Source organism: Homo sapiens, chromosome 10 (genome assembly GCF_000001405.40).
Source record: "Homo sapiens chromosome 10, GRCh38.p14 Primary Assembly".
NCBI classification, from domain to species: domain Eukaryota; kingdom Metazoa; phylum Chordata; class Mammalia; order Primates; family Hominidae; genus Homo; species Homo sapiens.
The window spans coordinates 27900912-27922254 of NC_000010.11; the positions used below are offsets into that span (position 1 = coordinate 27900912).

The window sequence follows — 21343 nt, forward strand, 5'->3', positions numbered from 1 at the left end:
TTCCCCAACCTAGCAAGACAGGCCAACATTCAAATTCAGGAAATACAGAGAACACCACAAAGATACTCCTCGAGAAGAACAACCCCAAGACACATAATCATCAGATTCAGCAAGATTGAAATGGAGGAAAAAATCTTAAGGCAGCCAGAGAGAAATGTTGGGTTACCCACAAAGGGAAGCCCATCAGACTAACAGTGGATCTCTCTGCAAAAACTCTACAAGCCAAAAGAGAGTGGGGGCCAATATTCAACATTCTTAAAGAAAAGAATTTTCAACCCAGAGTTTCATATCCAGCCAAACTAAGCTTCATAAGCGAAGGAGAAATAAAATCCTTTACAGACAATCAAATGCTGTGAGATTTTGTCACCACTAGGACTGCCTTATGAGAGCTCCTGAAGGAAGCACTAAATTTGGAAAGGAAAAACCGGGACCAGCCACTGCAAAAACATACCAAATTGTAAAGACCATCAACACTATGAAGAAACTATATCAACTAATGGGCAAAATAACCAGCTAGCATCAAAATCACAGGATCAAATTCACACATAATAATATTAACCTTAAATGTAAATGGGCTAAATGCCCCAATTAAAAGACATAGATTGGCAAATTGGATAAAGATCAAGACCCACCGGTGTGCTGTATTCAGGAGACCCATCTTACGTGCAAAGACAGACATAGGCTCAAAATAAAGGAATAGAGGAATCTTTACCAAGCAAATGGAAAGCAAAAAAAGCAGGGGTTGCAATCCTAGTCTCTGATAAAACAGACTTTAAACCAACAAAGATCAAAAAAGACAAAAAAGGGCATTGCATAATGGTAAAGGGATCAATGCAACAAGAAGAGCTAACTGACCTAAATATATATGCACCCAGTACAGGAGCACCCAGATTCATAAAACAATTCTTGGAGACCTACAAAGAGACTTATACTCCAACATAATAATACTGGGAGACTTTAACACCCACTGTCAGTATTAGATCAACGAGACAGAAAATTAACAAGGATATTCGGGACTTGAACTCAGCTCTGGAACAAGCGAACCTAATAGACATCTACATAACTCTCCACCCCAGATCAACAGAATATACATTCTTCTCAGCACCACATCACACTTATTCTAAAATTGACCACAGAATTGGAAGTAAAACACTCCCTAGCAAATGCAAAAGAACAGAAATGATAACAAACAGTCTCTCGGACCACAGTGCAATCAAATTGGAACTCAGGATTAAGAAACTCTCTCAAAACCACACAACTAAATGGAAACTGAACAACCTGCTCCTGAATGACTACTGGGTAAATAACGAAATTAAGGCAGAAATAAATAAGTTCTTTGAAATCGATGAGAACAATGACACAGCGTACCAGAATCTATGGGAAATAGCTAAAGCAGTGTTTAGAGGGAAATTTATAGCACTAAATGCCCACAAGAAAAGATCTAAAATCGACACCCTAACATCACAATTATAAGAACTAGATAAGCAAGAGCAAATAAACTCAAAAGCTAGCAGAAGACAAGAAATAACTAAGATCAGAGCAGAACTGAAGGTGATAGAGACAGGAAAAACTCTTCAAAAAATCAATGAATCCAGGAGCTGGTTTTTTGAAAACATTAACAAAATAAATAGACTGCTAGCAAGACTAATAAAAAAGAAAAGAGAGAAGAATCAAATAGACACAATAAAAAATGATACAGGGGAGATCACCACTGATCCCACAGAAATACAAACTACCATCAGAGAATGCTATAAAAACCTTTACACAAATAAACTAGAAAATCGAGAAGAAATGGATAAATTCCTGGACACATACACCCTCCCAAGTCTAAACCAGGAAGAAATCAAATCACTGAATAGACCAATAACAAGTTCTGAAATTGAGGCAGTAATTAATAGCCCACCAACCAAAAAAAGCCCAGGATCAGATGGACTCACAGCAGAATTCTACCAGAGGTACAAAGAGGAGCTGGGACCATTCCTTCTGAAACCATTCCAAGCAACAGAAAAAGAGGGACTCCTCCCTTACTCATTTTATGAGACCAGCATCATCCCCATACCAAAACCTGGCAGAGACACAACAAAAAAAAGAAAATGTCAAGCCAATGTCCCTGATGAACATCGATGCGAAAATCCTCAATAAAATACTGGCAAACCGAATCCAGCAGCACATCAAAAAGCTTACCCAACACGATCAAGTCAGCTTCATCCCTGGGATGCAAGGCTGGTTCAACATATGCAAATCAATAAACGTAATCCATCACATAAACAGAACCAGTGACAAAAACCACATGATTATCTCAATAGATGCAGAAAAGGCCTTCCATAAAATTCAACACTCATTCATGCTAAAAACTCTCAATAAACTAATTATTGATGGAATGTATCTCAAAATAATAAGAACTGTTTATGACAAACCCACAGCCAATATCATACTGAATGGGCAAAAGCTGTAAGCATTCCCTTTGAAAACCAGCACAAGACAAGGATGCCCTCTCTCACCACTGCTATTCAATATAGTATTGGAAGTTCTGGCCGGGGCAATCAGGCAAGAGAAAGCAATAAAGAGTATTCAAATAGGAAGAGAGGAAGTCAAATTGTCTTTGTTTGCAGATGGCATGATTGTATATTTAGAAAACCCATCGTCTCAGCCGAAAATCTCCTTAAGCTGATAACCAACTTCAGCAAAGTCTCAGGATACAAAATCAATGTGCAAAAGTCATAAGCATTCCTATACACCAATAATAGACAAAGAGAGAGCCAAATCATGAGTGAACTCTCATTCACAATTGCTACAAAGAGAATAAAATACCTAGGAATAGGGCCATCTGAGGCCTCCAGTGCGGTACCTCCTATTAGATACAGCTGAGGCCCCACCAATACATGCAAGAAACCCTTCTCCTCTGAAAAGCTGGTGTCACAGGCTGCCTGTCATTTCCATGAGTTCTATGGTCACACCAAGACAAGGGTGTCCACCAACCAGGGAGACCACTGTCCCAACCAGAAAGACTTCCTGTATCTCCTCTTCCTCCCCTCTGGGGTTCCCTTTAGACCTTCTCAAGATAATACAATCTATGTTTTCTCCAAATAAGGACTACCTGTTGCCAAAAAGGGTATATGCAGACAACAATCTGAGGTTTGGAGTTTTAAAAAACTCTTCTGACCACTATGTTGACTACTCCCCAAACTGTTCCCTCATACAGAATGACCCACACCTTAGTTTAGCTCCTATCAGCTCTGTAAGCATAAATGACTTAGAAATTAACAATAGCTTTCCACGTGATAGGGCTCCTGCAATGTGGTGCACATTCCTAAAGCCTTCCAGACTTTCTGTAAGAAGTGTGGCAAGCACCAACCCCACAAAGTGGCACAGGACAAGAAAGGCAAGGATGCTGTGTATGCGCGGGGAACATGGCGTCATGGCAGGAAGCAGAGCGGGAATCTTGGGCTGAGTACTCAGGAGGCTGAGGCATGAGAATTGCTTAAGCCCAGCAGGTGGAGGTTACAGTGAGCTGAGATCACGCCACTGCACTCCAACCTGGGCGACAGAGCGAGACTCCATCTCAATAAATAAAAAATATAAATAAATAAATATAAAAAGTCCATCACTGCCTCTGAGATTTGACTTGCCACTTTTATCATATACTAAATTCCCATTTGTACTTAGGTCTATTCTGTACTTTCTATCCTATTCCATTGGTCTGTCTGCCTGTTCACATGGCCAATGCCACACTGTTCTAAATACAGAGGCTTTATGGTTTGTTTTAATAGCCCATAGGGCTAGCCCATTTTGTGCCAGTTTTTCCCTGGCTATTCCGACATGTTTATTTTCCATAGAAGCTTTAGTATCAACTTACCAACTCCATGAAACAAAGCTTGTTGGCATTTTTATGGGAATGGCATTCAATTTATAAATCAACTTGGAGGGAATGGGCATCTTGATGATGAGCTGTGATAGCCAAAAACAAGGGATGTCTTCCCACTCAAAACACAAAAGGGATGCTTCTTTGTTGCTATTATACATGGGTTTTTCTTAAGTCCTTTAACATAAATATTGTTTGTGTTTATCAAGGCCATTGATTTCTGTAAGTAAGCCAATTTTCCAATAAAAAGGCTAAAACTACAAAGGAGATGGTGCTGAGGCTTGAGCGCTGAGCCCAGCTGCAGATCTAAGACGATGCTGGATATGAGGACATGCAAGCATTTTGAACTAGGAGGAGATAAGAAGAGAAAGGGCCAAGTGATTCAGTTCTAAATTTCATCTTTTGTTTTATTATGAAGACAATAAAATCTCGAGGTTATTTTCAGTTCAAAAAAAAGAAATGTATGATAAATTTTACACTGTAAATAAATCCTTTTTTGTGGGTGAAAAAAAATACCTAGGAATACAACTTACAAGGGATGTGAAGGACCTCTTCAAGGAGAACTACAAACCACTGCTCAAGGAAATAAGAGAGGACACAAACAAATGGAAAAATATTCCATGCCCATGGATAGGAAGAAACAATATCATGAAAATGGCCATACTGCCCAAAGTAATTTATAGATTAAATGCTATCCCTATCAAGCTACCACTGGCATTCTTCACAGAATTACAAAAAACTACTTTAAATTTCATATGGAACCAAAAAAGAGCCTGTATAGCCAAGACAATCTTAAGCAAAAAGAACAAGGCTGGAGGCATCACACTACCTGACTTCAAACTATACTACAAGGCTACAGTAACTAAAACAGCATGGTACTGGTACCAAAACAGATATATAGACCAATGGAACAGAACAGAGGCCTCAGAAATAATGCCACACATCTACAACCATCTGATCTTTGACAAACCTGACAAAAACAAGCAATGGGGAAAGGATTCCCTATTTAATAAGTGGTGTTGGGAAAACTGGCTAGCTATATGCAGAAAACTGAAACTGGACCTCTTCCTTACACCTTATACAAAAATTAACTCAAGATGGATTAAAGACTTAAATGTAAGACCTAAAACCATAAAAACCCTGGAAGAAAACGTAGGCAATACCATTCAGGACATAGGAATGGGCTAAGATTTCATGACTAAAACACCAAAAGCAATGGCAACAAAAGCCAGAATTGACAAATGGGATTGAATTAAACTAAAAAGCTCTGCACAGCAAAAGAAACTATCATCAGAGTGAACAGGCAACCTACAGAATGGGAAAAATTTTTGCAATCTATCAATCTGACAAAGGGCTGATATCCAGAATCTACAAGGGACTTAAACAAATTTATAAGAAAAAACAACTCCATCAAAAAGTGGGCAAAAGATATGAAAAGACACTTCTCAAAAGAAGACATTTATGCGACCAACAAACGTATGAAAAAAAGCTCATCATCACTGGTCATTAGAGACATGCAAATCAAAACCACAATGAGACACCATCTCACACCAGTTAGAATGGCAATCACTAAAAAGTCAGGAAACAACAGATGCTGGAGAGGATGTGGAGAAATAGGAATGCTTTTACACTGTTGGTGGGAGTGTAAATTAGTTCTACCATTGTGGAAGACAGTGTGGCGGTTCCTCAAGGATCTAGAACCACGAATACCATTTTACCTGCCAATCCCATTATTGGGTATATACCCAAAGGATTATAAATCATTCTACTATAAAGACACATGCACACGTATATGTTTATTGCAGCACTATTCACAATAGCAAAGACTTGGAACCAACCAAAACACCCATCAATGATAGACTGGATAAAGAAAAGGTGGCATTTATACACCATGGAATACTATGCAGCCATAAAAACGAATGAGTTCATGTCCTTTGCAGGGACATGGATGAAGCTGGAAACCATCATTCTCAGCAAACTAATACAGGAACAAAAAACCAAACACCGCATGTTCTCATTCATAAGCGGGAGTTGAACAATGAGAACACATGGACACAGGGAGGGGAACATCACACATCGGGGCCTGTCAGGGGGTGCGGGACTAGGGGAGGAATAGCATTAGGAGAAATACCTAATGTAGATGACGGGTTGATGGGTGGAGCAAGCCACCATGGCATGTGTATACCTATGTAACAAACCTGCACGTTCTGCACATGTATCCCAGAACTTAGAGTATAATTTAAAAAAAAATTCAACAGGCAGAAATAACTTCAGCAACAAGGATCTTAAAGGGCAATCTCTAAACCTATAGAAAAAATGTTAAGAGAAATAGGCTCAAAAGTGATCTTCAAAGAAAATAACAAAATTTACAAATCAAGGGCTAAAATCGATTTCAGAAACTTCTGGTCTCCTGTTTTTAGTGACAGATAAGAAAAGTGAGAGTCATTGAAATCATGTGACCTTTTCAAAGCAACACAGAACGTAGTGCTCTCTCACTGCAGGCTGTAAGGACAATAGAAGCAGTCATGTCTCCCCCATGGCTGCACTCTCTCTGGATAGCAGGTAAATGCAGACAAATTTCTTATCCCTCAAGAGACAAGAACAGTCAACTTGTCCTCACTCTGATTTACCTGGGATGCTTGCTTCCATTGCACCAATCAGCTAGAATTTGGCAAGCACTGACATCTTTGGCTAGTTTTGCTTTGCATTTTAAAACTGACCAGAAAAAAAGCAATGCTCCGAAATTATTTTGGCATAAACATTGTGCAACCCTCTCCCACCAGATAAATCTGACTTACAATAAGTCAAAAGCAATTAGTAACCTGTGGTGGCATTTTTCAGTATAGTATTAGAGATTCTAGAAGAGACTGACTTGCAGTCCGTTCTTACCTTTGCATTTTTGATGCATGGACAGAGTGCCCATGCTGCGCTGGCCTTCACGTCTGGGTGAGGATTTTTCAGCAGGGACCACAACAAACGAACTCCATCTAAGCGATCAATTATCCTATCGTGGAACCCAAAATCATGATATAAACTGTCATTAGTATGTGAAGACAAACATTTTAATGACCCACTTATTTAATTATTTTTTCTCCTTTTGATATTTTGCTTAGAATTTTTTTTTTTTTTGCAAAACTTCATCAACAGTAGGGAGATAACATGCTGTTGAATTGTCAGCCCTCTGATTTCAGTTTTAAATCCATGACACAGAAAACAAGCTGCTTGATGATTACGATTCACATAAACTGAAAATCAAGCCATGTAATTTTTTAATTAGCTGTACACAGACCTGTTACCTAAATGTAAAAATACGGGTTTCTTTCATATAGTAACATTTAAATACTTTCCAAAACAAATATTTATGCCTCAAAACTGTGCAGTTACCTTTTTTATTTGGTCTATGTTTAATTGACTTACCTTACCGTATGACATATTTTAAATGCTTTCAGTCCTAATCTAGCATTAGGAATTAAAATCATTACACCACAGTGCATCCTTTGTTGGGCATGAATAACAGGTAACTTGTTTTCCATGTGCACCCTTCCCAGCAAGACTAACATTGCAGACTGTGTTATAATTACTTAAAGACACTGTAATCAAAATAGCTTCATGACTAGCTGAAAAATGAATTATCATCAGAGCCATCTCTCCACCATCTGTCTTCTGTTTATATATCAATCAGTCCAGGAGCATAACCTCGCAGTAAGGTCCATTGGGTACTCACAGCGGAGAAGAAGGCCAAACAAAACTTAATAACCTTTACAAACATGGCTTTGTTTCGGAAAGGTATATTAAACTCAAAGCAGATGAAAAAAGATAAAGGGCATCAAAATTCCTTTGATTTTTAATCTCAAGTTGAATTAAACACATGTAGTATTGAGCCACAGATAGAATAAATACTAGCTTAAAATGCCATTCAAATTCTTCCTTGAAAATTGACGTAAAAACATCTAGATGTCTTGATTATCTTAGATGAGTTTACCAGGGGGGAAAAATGTATTATTCCAAAGTTTTCAAGTAGGAGATCAGTTTTGCATAACTTTATAAAATTGGTGACGCTGAAAAAGAGCATTGAAAAAAACTGGTGATGTAAATAGCCGATAGTAAGATAAAAACTGTCTTAAAAAGGACTTCTAATAAGAAAAAATACACGTAAAAATTATTTTAAAGCAAAGCTTAAGTAAGTAGGTTTTCAAACCTAAAACTTTCATACCATGCTGAGAGAAAACAGTTTTATTTCTCAATTAATGGAAACTCTAAAGAAACATACTAGCACTTCACAATGAAGGATTTGCTTTTCAAATTTAAATTGAAAAGTCATACTGCCTTCCATATGCTACTTAAAATATAACTAACGCCAATCTCTGAGCCTCTATTTTTTTCACATAAAATTTCACAATGAACAACAGTGAATAATGGCCTGCCCTATCTTCTTGAAAATTTCGCAGCAAATTTGGCATTAGTGATATTTAACTGTATATTGCTGGACAGAAATAACTTGTCATTGCAGTGGAAGTCATTTGGATGGCACAAATTTGCAATTTAAAAAAAGGAACATTCAATCCTGGACAAAATTTCACAATTAACTTTAAAACAAGTTATAGACAAAATTTCACAATTAACTATAAAAATTCACTATAATTGTAAAATTAGATCTATCATTTACCATTTTCACCCCAAACCTTAGGCAATTCATCAGCTACTTAGCTATAATGAGTGAGGATTTTGATCTCATTACTGGTGTCTTAAAAGAAGACTCAGGGGCGGGGCCCAGTGACTCACACCTGTAATCCCAACACTTTGAGAGGCGAAGGCAGGCAGATCACTTGAGGTCAGGAGTTCAAGACCAGCCTGGCCAATGTGGCTAAATCCTGTCTCTACTAAATATACAAAAATTAGTCAGGCTTGGTGGCACGCGCCTGTAGTCCCAGCTACTCAGGAGGCTGAGGCAGGAGAGTCGCTTGAACCCAGGAGGTGGAGGTTGCAGTGAGTCGAGATTGCACCACTGCACTCCAGCTTGGGCGACAAAGTGAGTCTTCATTTGAAAAAAAAAAAAAAAAAAAAAAAAAGACTCAGAACACTACGGAATGATAACTTCCTATGACAAGAACATGATTGAAAAACATTTGCAACCATAGGAACTAACAAAGTCAGGAGTAGTAAGTTAGAATTTAACTTTATCCTTTCCATCTCCCTCATCCTCTGCATGAAGTCATTTATTGCTAAATTTTACTTCACAATGACTCAAGTATCTGCCCATTTCCCTGTTTTCTATTTTAGCACCCAAATCCCAGTCTTTACCATTTCATATCAGGATCGTTGTGTGAGGGAATAACTTGGTTTTCTGTCCTCAGTTTTTCTCAATTTCAATCCATCTTATAAATCCCAGCAAAATTAATTTTCCTAAAGACACTTTTAGAATTTCTGCAATAGCTCCTTGAGATCAGGATGCCAGGGATATTCATTCTGTTCATGACACTAGCTAGCACATTTGATCAGCGCTTGTTAAACGATTCTCAACCCAAAGATCACTCCTAGGGAAAAAAGTCTCCAATGGCTTCCCGTTGCCTTCATGGTATTAAACCTGCAATTCCAGAGCTCGGTATTTAAATTTTTTAGGGGGCTGGAATTTCTCATAATACTCCTTGGCTATCTACTAAACACTAAGTACTAGGCATACAGAAATAACAGATACACTTGGGTCAGGCACGGTGGCTCACGCCTGTAATCCTAACACTTTGGGAGGCCAAGGTGGGTGGATCGCATGAGCTCAAGAGTTCAAGACTAGCCCAGGCAACAAAGGATCCTGTCTCTACAAAAAATACAAAAAAAAATTAGCCAGGCATGGTGGTGCACGACTCTAATCTCAGCTACTTGGGAGGCTGAGGTAGGAGGATGACTTGAGCCCAGGAAGTGGAAGTTGCAGTGAGCCCAGATTGCGCCACTGCACTCTAGCCTGGATGACAGAGCCAGACCCTGTCTCAAAAAAACAAAAAACAAACAAACAAACAAAAAAACAGATACAGTCAATTCTCATCAGGGGAAGTTATGTTCTATCAAGTCAGTGCAAACCTTTGATGAACAAATAGTGAACTACCCTTCCTAGGGTATATATAAAGTGGGTTCCCGTGAGCCTCTAGTCAGAATGTTTTCATCAACCAATCAATATATAACGTTGTTTCACGTGTATTTCTCTTTAAAGACACCTTATTAAATATAGATTGTTGAATCATGAATATTGGACTTATGGCCAGTAGCTCTGTAACTTGTGCCTGAATGGCGTTTAGGGAATACACAGATTTTTTTCCAAAAGGAACATCGCCGCCGTCCTGCACTTAGGAACACTGGGCGGCACTTCAGCACTATGTTTAGGGACCATATTAAAACAGCAAAATCACCATCCCAGAGCACAGACTGTGAAAAACGTGGCACTAAACAGATTGCCAAATGGACAAGCTGTTCACAGTGTGAGAGCTGGAACGAAAAGTCAGAATGTCACCTTTTTGGACCTCAGCAGAAAACATATGCACCAGGTGACTCAAAATGTGTCCCTGCTCTGCACGTGTCCAGGAATGACAGCGCAAGTGATGTGACTACTGATTTGGGGGTTATAAATAAAGTTTAGAGACTGTATGAATTCATCAATTCAGAATTTGCAAATAATGAGGACTGACTGTATTTTAATGGACCATTGGGAAACTACAGTCTTGTGAGGGTGATAAACAGACCATTATAATCTGTAATAAATGCTGCAATAGATGTGAGCGTGGAGTTTCACATGAACACAGACAGAAGACACCAGTTTACTCACAGGCCACAGAGCTTCTCCCCGTTATGCACTTTCAACTATTGCTGTTTCCCAGCCATCTCCGTATTTTACATAGTAATCCATCACTTAAGGTCTACAACAAAACCTCTTTCGCAAATTCTCTGGCATCTTCCTCCTTTAAGCTTCTTTTTAATTTTGCACTCCCTTTTCCTGCCCCTCATACCACATTACTTTGCCTTGTAGTCTTGTGTTGTGTGCTTCTTATCTCCCCAATTACCATGTAATCTCCATGACAGCAGGAATTCTGTATTTCCCACCACACTCCCAGCAGGCTACCACACCAGTGAATACTGATGAAATGGATCTGAAACAAGACAGCCTTTGCTTACTCTTTTTCATTGCATCAAAAATCTCTCCCAACACAAGTACACTCCTCCTTAAACCTCATACTTGCAAAATACACGTTCAAATTCTAAATCGGAGCAGTAAAGTTTTCATTTGAAGTTGTCTCTAAGTGGAAAGTGTATTTTCTCAGAATTTCTTGACAACTTCATTGCTTTCTGCATACACACTGATGGGCTTATAGGTGGTGTTAATTTATACCACTCTCCATTTTCAACAGGTCTACCCCTTATATAGTTCTTTAATTTGATTAGCATCTTGCTCTGAATTCATTTCCAGCAGTATGGTAGCTCTTCTCATTTTGCATAGCAATAGAATCCTAAATTAATTTCTTGACATTATAAAAACAAAACTGAATTACATGCTTTCAAGATCTTCAGTTTTATCTCAGAAATCAAACTGCCTGGCTGGCAAAATAACAGCTCTAGAAAGATGAATACATGTACGTGCTTTTGGTTATTTAAAAAAAAATAAACAAACCAAAAAGATGCAGCTGTTTGCTACGTTTCTCAGGCTCTTGTTATGTTAACATTTTCCAGGACTGCTATGAAGTTTTGCTGGCTCGCCTGCCCATTGAGGCCATATATATGAACAAATGTGAACAGTTTGTGCCCATACTGTGGGCACAGGCAAGGTTGTAGGGTTTCTTTCTGGCAATATCAACATATCTATTTTGAAATCATAATTTTGCATGTTTTCTAAAAACTTCACAGTATTTGGTGAAAATTACACTGATAAATACCATTGTATGACAGTGGCTCAAACTAAGTGTGGTTTGCTTAAAAGAACATGACGTTCTTAAACCACAACATTAAAGGATGCGACTGTCATCTACAAGTTTTGAAACCAAGTTGGCAATTCAGTAAAATGGGAAACATAAATGTATGTCAGAATTAAAATGATCATCCCTGGGAAAAACAGATTAGAAGAGAATTTTACCTTTAAAAAAATCCTTAAGGTTTTTACGTTTCTACCTCTATGTGTTATTCCAAAGAGGCTATGGGACAACAAATTTGGAGAAAAGATGTGAATGTGGCAGTCTTGGGATAAGTATGTCAGAAATTCTTTAGCCTTTGGAAAGCAGGAGGATAGCCTATGCTTTCATAGTTGGTATAAACAATATGATTAGAAAGACTCTAGAAATCTTTTTTGTCAGAAAAATTATCATATAGTAAATATGTTTCTCCTTTTTTCAACTTTTTAGTTTTGGGGGTACATGTGCAGGTTTGTTAAATAGGTAAATTACGTGTCGCGGGGGTTTGGTGTACAGATTATTTTGTTACCCAGATAATAAGCATGGTACCTGATAGGTAGTTTTTCGATCCTCACCCTCCTCCCACCCTCCATCTTCAAGTAGGCCCTGGAGTCTATTGTTTCCCTCTTTGTGTCCATGTGTACTCAGTGTTTGCTTCCCACTGATAAGTGAGAACATGCGGTATTTGGTTTTCTATCCCTGCATTAATTTGCTTAGGATAATGTTCTCCAGCTCTATGCATGTTGTTGCAAAAACAATTACAACAGAATAAAAATGGACAAATTAGACTTAATTGAACTGAAGAGAGCTTCTGCACAGCAAAAGAAACTATCCACACAGTAAACAGATAAACCCACAGAATGGGAGAAAATATATGCAAACTATGCATCTGACAAAAGTCTAATATCCACAATCTATAAGAAACTTAAATTAACAAGCAAAAGCTGAATAACCCCATTGAAAAGTGGTCAAAGCACATGAACAGATACTTCTCAAAAGAAGACATACACGTGGCCAGCAAGCATATTAAAAAATGTTCAACATCACTGATCATTAGAGAACTGCAAATCAAAACCACAAGAAGATACTATCTCACATGAGTCGGAATGGCTATTATGAAAAAGTCAAAAAATAACAGATGCTGGCAAGGTTGTGGAGAAAAGGGAAAGCTTGTACACTGCTGGTAGGAATGCAAATTAGTTCAGCCACTGTGAAAAGCAGTTCGGAGATTTCTCAAAGAACTTAAAACAACTAACATTTAACCCAGCAATCCCATTATTAGGTATAAACCCAAAGGAATATAAATCATTCTACCATAAACATACATGCAGGTATATGTTTACTGCAGCAAAATTCACAGTAGCAAAGACATAAAATCAACCTAAATGCCCATCAATGGTAGACTGGATAAAGAAAATGTACATACAAACCATGGAGTACTACACAGCCATAAAAAAGAATGAGATCAAACAATAAATATTAAGTGAGAGCCAATTATATCCCATGCATTGAAACACATCGAGAGGCACAAAATATCTAGTTGTCCAACTTTCAGCAATGCTGAGTTTGGTCCTTTAATTACGCTGGTGACCACCAGACCTTTCCATTTTAAAGATGCCATTTTTTCTTTTCATTGTATAACAATCTGTGGGGTCATATTATGTCTCCCTGAGAAAGTTCTGTTCCAACAATCATTCCCTATTTTAAGTTTTAGCATTCATTAATTATCCTTGCCTAAAATAATTATTTTATTGGGAATTGTAAAATAGTGATTTTTCTAATTCTGTTCATTTTCTCAATTTGTTACTTGACATTATTCTATGAAAAAGAGCTTTTCTTTCATTAACTAGAGCTCAATTACAGTTTCTCCATAAAGGCAGAATATATGTTTAATCTGTTCCCTTTAATGACCAATTTGTGGTTATCTCCTCTGTAGGCAAAGGAGAAATATAGCATTTCCATTATTTATAAATATGTATGTATGTGTGTGTATATATATATGTGTGTGTATATAAATATGCATGTATACACATACTTTATATATGTATATAAAATGGAAATGCTATATTTGAAAACTACAGTATTAGAAATGAAGAATTCATTAGATGGGCTTAACAGCAAACTAGACACAGAAGAGAAAGGGATCTGTAAATTCAAGGCAGTAAAATATATCCAAACAGAAAAACAAAGAGAAAAGCCTGACCTTTTCTCTTTGAAGAAGAAGTGACAGAGTTCAATGTCTGTGAAATATTATTAAATGAAACAACATATGCATGATTGGAATACCAAGAAGAAGACAGAGAGAGAATGGGACCAAAGAATATTTGTGAAGGCGATAATCACAATCTTCCCCCAAATTGATGGCAGACATTAATCCATAGGTCCAAGAAGCTCAGCGAACCCTAAATAAAAGTAAAAGCCACAATATAAATGAAAGTAAAAACCACACCTACACACATCATAATCAAATGGCTGAAACCCAAAGGTAAAAAGCCAATCTTAAAAGCAACCAAAGAAAAAAAATGCATACGTCTTAGTCCCTTCAGGCTGCAATAACAGAATGCCATATGCTGGGTGGCTTGTAAACAACACACATTTATTTCTCACAGTTCTGGAGGCTGGGAAGTCAAAGATAAAGGCAGGCAGATTCAGTGTCTAGTGAGAGCCTGTTTACTGGTTCTCAGACAGCCATATTTTCACCTTAACTTCACATGGTAGAAGGGGCAAAGGAGCTCTCCGGGGACTCTTTTAAAAGGGCATTAATTTCATTTATGAGGCCTCTACCCTCACGTCCTAATCACTTCCCAAAAGTCTCAGCTCTAAATTTTCTCACAATGGGGATTAAGTTTCAACATCTAAATGTGAGGGAACAGTATATATAGCACAGTAGGTATGGGGAATTATGATACGATTAAATTCTGACTTCTCATAAGAAACAGTGAGGGCAAGAAGACAATAGAATGGCATTTATAAAATGCTAGAAGGAAAAGAACTGTCAACCTAGACTTCTGTATCCAGTGAAAACATCCTTCAAAAGGGATAGTAAATCCTCTTCCCCTTGCCTTAGCCCTAAAGCCAGTAAGTGGAGCACACAAAACCATTGTGTGTGGCAGAACAAAGTAGTCATCCATGATATTGCCAGAAAGAAACTCTATGATCTTAACCATGCCTACAATATGGACACAAACTGTTCACATTTGTTCATATATATGGCCTCAATTAGCAGGTGAGCCAACAAGGTTGTTTTAATGGTCCACCATGGAGTGTTAGAGCACAAGAAGGATGAAGAGAGAATCTCTCTAAGTGTAGGGGGAAACAGTCACAAGATATTAGAACCTAAATAGAGTGATTGAAGCAATCTTTAGTGGTGCAACCCAACGCGGGAAGTCAGAACCCTAGCAGAATAAGGGGAATATCCCCACTGAGAATTAGCCTGGTATGTGGGGACAGAGACTGAAAAGTGTGAAAGAAAGTGCCAATATAGTAGAGCAGCATGACAGGAGATCAAAAGCTGAGCAGGGTGAGGAGGGCAGACATACTAGGGGAAGGTGGCCTAACATGGGGAACTAGAGCCTGAATGGGGTGAAGAGAACATTTTGGAGGCTGGGTAATCCAGCATGGTAAATCAGAACAAGCACAGGGTGAAGAGAGCATCTGCAAAGGGGAGGAGATGGGGATGATTATGAAAGCTTGGTTACATACAGGGAAATTGATCAAATAAGTAAGGACGGAGGTCAGTTTCTCACTGTCAATGAAGAGAATTATAAATACAGTTGACCCTTGAATAACATGGGTTTGAGCTGTGTGGGACCACTTAACATGTGGGTTTCCTTCCATCTCTGCCACCCCTGAGACAGCAAGGCCAACGCCTCTTCTTCCTCCTCCTCCTCAGCCTGTTCAACGTGAAGATGACCAAGATGAAGATCTTTATGAAGATTCACTTCCACTTAATGAATAGTAATTATATTTTCTCTTCCTTAGAATTTTCTTAATAACATTTTCTTTTCTCTAGCTTACATTATTGTAAGAAATCAGTATATAACAACAAAATATGTGCTAATTGTTTATGCTATTGGTAAGGCTTCTGGTCAACAGTAGGCTATTAGTAGCTAAGTTTTGGGGAAGCCAAAAGTTATACACAGATTTTCGACTGCATGGAGGGTTAGCGTCTCTAACCCCTGTGTTGTTCAAGGGACAGCTCTAGGAAGAAAAAACTACAAATAAACAAATCTACAATCATGATTGAAAATTTTCACACCCCTTTCTCAGGAGTTGATAAAATAAAATTTAAAAAATGATAAAGATAGAAAAGACTGAAAAAACACACTTAACCAATTTCACTTAATCAACATTTTAAAAGCATTGCATAAAACTACTGCAGAATACACAGTTTTCTCTCAGTGCAAATGGAATATTGACAAATACAGACCAGACAGCTGAGTCATAAAGCCTAATATGAAAGAACTGAAATCACATATAATATCATCCCTGACCTTGTGGTTTTAAACTAGAAATCAATAACAACATGGGATCTGGAAAATAACCAGTTTTAGAAATTAAGCAGCACTTGTAAATAATCCCTGGGTCCAAGGTAAATCACACAAAAAATAGAAACTATTTTGAATTAAATAAAAATGAAATCACAACTTATGTTTGTGGGATGAGGCTAAAACTGTGCTTAAAGAAAAATGTATACCTTTAAAAAATTATATAAGACAAGAATTGGCCTATAATACCAATGAACACAGCTTTTACCTTAAGAAGCTAGAAAAAGAAGCAAAAGTTAAACACAAATAAGTACAATAAATAAAGTAATTAAAAATAAAGGCAGATATTAATGAAACAGGGAATAGACAAAAATAGAGAAAATAAAGTCAAAAGTAGGTTCTTTTAAAAGGTGAATAAAAATGGTAAACCACTAAAGAAAGGTTGACAAACTTTTTCAGTAAAGGTCCAGATAGTAAATATTGTAGGCTTTGTAGGTAACATATAAGCTCTATTGAATAGTCTTTGCTTTGTTTTTGTTTTTGTTTGAAAAACCAATTGAAAATATAAAGATAATTAGCTCACAGATTATTTTTTTAATGGACCATGGTCCTCCCAAAAAAGAGACTGATGGAGAGAGAGAAAAATGAGAACTACTATCATTATAGAATCTACAAAGATTAAAAGAATAATAAAATGAATAATACAAGGATATTGCAATAATTTTAGGCTAAGAAATAAAATAAAATGAACATATTTCCAAATTACCAAAACTGACCCAAGAAGGAATTGAAAATCTACATAGTGCCATATCTTTAAATAAATTGAATTTGTAATTTTAAAAACCAATTAAAAAGGAATCCTTTTCATAAAAAAAACTCCAACTTAGATAATTCTGCTAAGTGAATTATATCAATATTTAAGAAAAAATAATCCTACACGAAATCTATCAGAAAACAAAGAGAAAAAATAATTTCTCAACTTGTCCTATAGGGCCTGCATAAACCTGATACTAACACTTGACAAAGACATTACAAGGAAAGAAAACTACAAATCAACATATCTCATGAACATAAACACAAAATATAAAATATCAGCAACATGAACGCAAGAATGCATGAAAAAGGTAATGCAATATGATCAGAGTGATTTTATCCAAGGAATAGAAGTTTGGCTCATCCTTCCAAAACAAATCATGGTGAGTCACTTTATTAATAGAACAAAAGAAAAATCACCTTATTTATTTATAGAACAAAAGAAAAATCATCTGATCATCTCAATAGATAAAAAGCATCGTATAAAATTCAAAAATCTATTTTTATTAAAATATAACTCTCACAGCAAACTAGGAATAGAAGGAAACTTTTTCAATCTGATAAAACATCTACAAAAACCTACCACTAACATCACACTTAATGGTGAAAAATTGAATGCTTTCTCCCCAAGATTAGGTACAGAACATATATGTTTGCACTCATTTGATTGTAACAGAGGTCTTGGCCTGCCTAATAAAGCACACACAAAAAAGAAATAACAGACATAAGGATTGTGGGGGGAAGTGAACTGTCATTATTTGCAGATTATGTATTTCTACATGTAGAAAACCCTATGGTATCTACAAAAAAAATTGGAAAAAATAAAGTTAGCAAGTTTGCCAGCATACATAAAGGTATATTTGAATATACAAAGGTATATTCAAAAATTAATTATGTATCCATTACTTGTAAAAAAAAAAACTGGAAAAAAATTAAAAATAATTATCAATCACAAAACCACAAATAAGTAGATAACTAGAAAAAGTATAATGGAAAATGTGCAATGCTCTACATTGCAACTACAAGGTATTGCTGAGAGAAATGAAAGACCCAAATAAATGGCAATATATACCTCATTAATGGATTGGCAGTCTCAATATCATTAAGATTTCCATTTTCCTTAAATTAGTTCAGAAATAGACCCATTCATTTACAATCAGTTGAATTTCAACTGAGATACCAAGTTAATCAAATGAAAAATAGTGTTTTCAATAAATGGTACTGGGACAAATGGATACTGTATGAAACAATTAATTTTGACCCCCTTTCATGCCATACTTAAAAACTAGTTTGATCACAGACAGTACAGAATCCCATGAACCTTAAAGGACAACCGAAAAATTGACCTTCCTCATATTAAAGGTTTCTGCTCAAAAGGAAGTCTTAATGCTTACTGGGGAAAAATTACTCCACAGTACATATATCTAATAATGCATATGTGTTCAAAATATGTAATAGACTTCAACAAAAGAGAAACAATCCAATTAAAAATGGGCAAAAGACTTTAACAGGCCACAAAACAATATATACAAATTGGTAATAAAGATATGGAAAGTTACTCAATACCATTAGTTATCAGAAAAATGAAAATGAAATCTACAATGACATACCATTTCACCCTATTAGAATGACTAAATTTTTTAAAGAAGACTGACAACACTAAGTATTGGCACTGGTAGGAGTGTAAAATCGTACAATCACTTTTGTGTACTATTTGGAAGTTTCTAGTAAAGTTAAACACATACTCTGTGATGACTCAGAAATTCCAATGCAAGGATATGCAATACTAATCTATAGTAATGGAAATAAAATTGGTTGAAACATAACATGAGTAAACTTTCCTGGATGAAGGACATGTTTTATAATTACTTTTGCCTGCTGGTTATATGGCTGTATACAATTATGAAAACTCACTAAACTAAACAATTAAGTGTAAAAATAACCCGTAATTTAGAACAAAATGTCAGATAAAACACTCTATGCTTTCATTCAGATACACTCCAAACAGAAACAAAACTAAGCTATAGTTTATAGGGATGAATTCTCAAGTATAAAATTATGAAAAAGAAGCAAGGTCCTAATTACCATAAAAGGCAAAAAAAAAAGAGATATCCCCAGAGTAGAGAGAGGTGGCACTGAGTGGGCTGTGAGGACGGGCAGCCGGGAGGTTTATAATAATGACCATATTCTATTTCTTGACTTGGATGGCAGTTACATAAGTGTTTCCCTTCCAATAATTTACTAATGTGTTAATTTTCATTATTCACTTTCCCTTATGTATAGTTTACAAATTAAAAAAATTTTAAAGGCTTTTTATTTTATTGTGAACACACATATACACGTATGCGCTCTCACAGTAAATAGTACTGAGAAGCCCACTCACAGTAAATAGTACTGAGAAGCCCATTCTTTCATCTATTAATATGCGTGCATATCACAACTGGCTGGATGAGATACAGAATGTGGAAAAATAAAACCCACATAATCTTCAAATTTAAAAATCCCTAGAGCCTGTTTTAAAATGAGAAAACCAAGATTCGGAAGATTAAATGATTCACATAATTACTCTCCATTTGACACTTTTGCATCTCAGTTAAATCTACGTGCTTTAAAAGTATGCAGATGAAAAACAAAAATGAAAATGTGAGAGGAAAGAAAAATGTTCTTGTTGATACAAACATGTAAAACACATATTCTATTTTATGTTTTGCATAAACCCTGAAAGGTCACGAAGACTTGTTCTGTGGCAAAAGACATATCTGGGCAGCCACAGAGAGATTAAATCTCTTCTGTATACAAACAAGCATAGCTTTACTTTTTTTCTCCTTTTTACAAAGAACAAATAAACCCAATGTAAAAACTGAAAAAAAAAAACTATGTAAATGCAACATAATTATGTTTAAACCACAGAAGAGAGGAAATTTAGAGTTACAGATTCCATGGTAAGTTTTAATTCTATCCTTGTGTATGTGAAAGAGTCTTTCATTACACGATCACATAACACTGGGCCATGTAACAATCAGTCCAACAAATGTTTACTTTACAACGTGTGGAAGGAAAATATTTTGTAAGAGAAATTGTAGGAAATTAGTATATTATTTATGTAAATTGTTAGGTAACATTTCTTAGAATCCTGGGCACTTACAAAATATTAATAGAAATACCTGTTCCTTAATTTCCTTGATCTAAAGAACACGAAATTTGGAGGATCGCTTGAGCCCAGGAGTTTAAGGCTGCAGTGACCCCTCATCATGCCACTGTACTTTAGCCTGGATGACAGAGTGAGACCCCACCTCCAACGAAAAAAAAAAAGAAAAAAAAAAGAACATGAAATTTAACTCTTTTATAGGCAGGCACTTACTCATGTTGAAAGCTAACCTTTAAATTTTAAGGATATTTTGAAGTAATGGAAAATTTAGAGCATTAGACTTTTAGTATGTTTTGAATCATGTATGCCAGGTAGTTTGTATAAAAGAACAGTAGAGACTAAATAACTCATGAAGATCCATGAATTCCAGTAATTAAAAAAAAAAATCCTTATCAGTCTTGGAGTTTGCTGGGATTCCTGACAACTCATATATCTATATGCATATATAAATGGATTTTTTTTTAAAAAAAGGAGGAATAAATCATTTATCCTTATTTGTATAAATTATATTTCAGGTTGACAAACAGCAATCAATTCTGAGACAAACCTAGCAAAATTATTAGATTACAAAGATAAAAATCCCCAGTCCAAAAAAAAAAAAATCAAGTAATTTACAAAGGCAAAATAATTAGACAAGCATCAGACTTTTCAAAAAAATGTTATGAAGCAAGGCAATAGAGCAGTATTTTATTTTTTTTTTTGTAATTTAATGAAAGAACTTGGGAATCAAGAACTTTAGGCCGGGCGCCTTGGCTCATGCCTGTAATCCCAGTACTTTGGGAGGCCAAGGAGGGTGGATAGCTTCAGCTCAGGGGTTCGAGACCCACGTGGGCAACATGGTGAAACCCTGTCTCTACAAAAACTACAAAAATTAGCCGGGCATGGTGGGATGTGCCTGTAGTCCCAGGCACTTGGTAGGCTGAGGTGGAAGGATATCTTGAGCCCAGAAGGTCAAGGCTGCAGTGCCACTGCATTCCAACCTGGGTGACAGAGTGAAACTCTGCCTCAAAAAAAAAAAAAAAGAAAGAAAACAAAAGAAAAAAGAAAAAAAGAAAAGAAAACAACAACAATAAAAGAACTTTATATCTAGCAAGGCTGTCCACTGAGT

The 21343-nt window shown here is 36.4% G+C and overlaps 1 protein-coding gene and 1 pseudogene across 27 annotated transcripts in view, besides 1 other annotated feature; one reads left to right on the forward strand and one right to left on the reverse strand.

Moving 5' to 3' along the window:
• Positions 1–21343, reverse strand: part of ODAD2 (outer dynein arm docking complex subunit 2) — a 187508-nt gene that overhangs the window by 88744 nt on the left and 77421 nt on the right. For 17 of the 27 annotated variants that reach the window (XM_047425404.1, XM_047425414.1, XM_047425413.1 and 14 more), the window contains one exon: positions 6752–6866. In XM_047425404.1, coding sequence (XP_047281360.1) covers positions 6752–6866 — 115 coding nt within the window. Of the gene's footprint in view, positions 1–6751; positions 6867–20251; positions 20381–21343 lie in introns of all 27 variants that reach the window. The other 10 variants (XM_024448052.2, XM_047425405.1, XM_024448051.2 and 7 more) reach the window with 1 other exon arrangement.
• RPL36AP55 (ribosomal protein L36a pseudogene 55) lies at positions 4091–4290 on the forward strand (annotated as a pseudogene).
• Positions 10626–11326: an enhancer, noted in NCBI's record as "OCT4-NANOG hESC enhancer chr10:28200466-28201166 (GRCh37/hg19 assembly coordinates)". NCBI's record gives its function as "activates a minimal SCP1, AML or CMV promoter by ChIP-STARR-seq in naive H9 embryonic stem cells {active_cell/tissue: H9 hESC(naive)}" and the evidence as "EXISTENCE:reporter gene assay evidence [ECO:0000049][PMID:30033119]".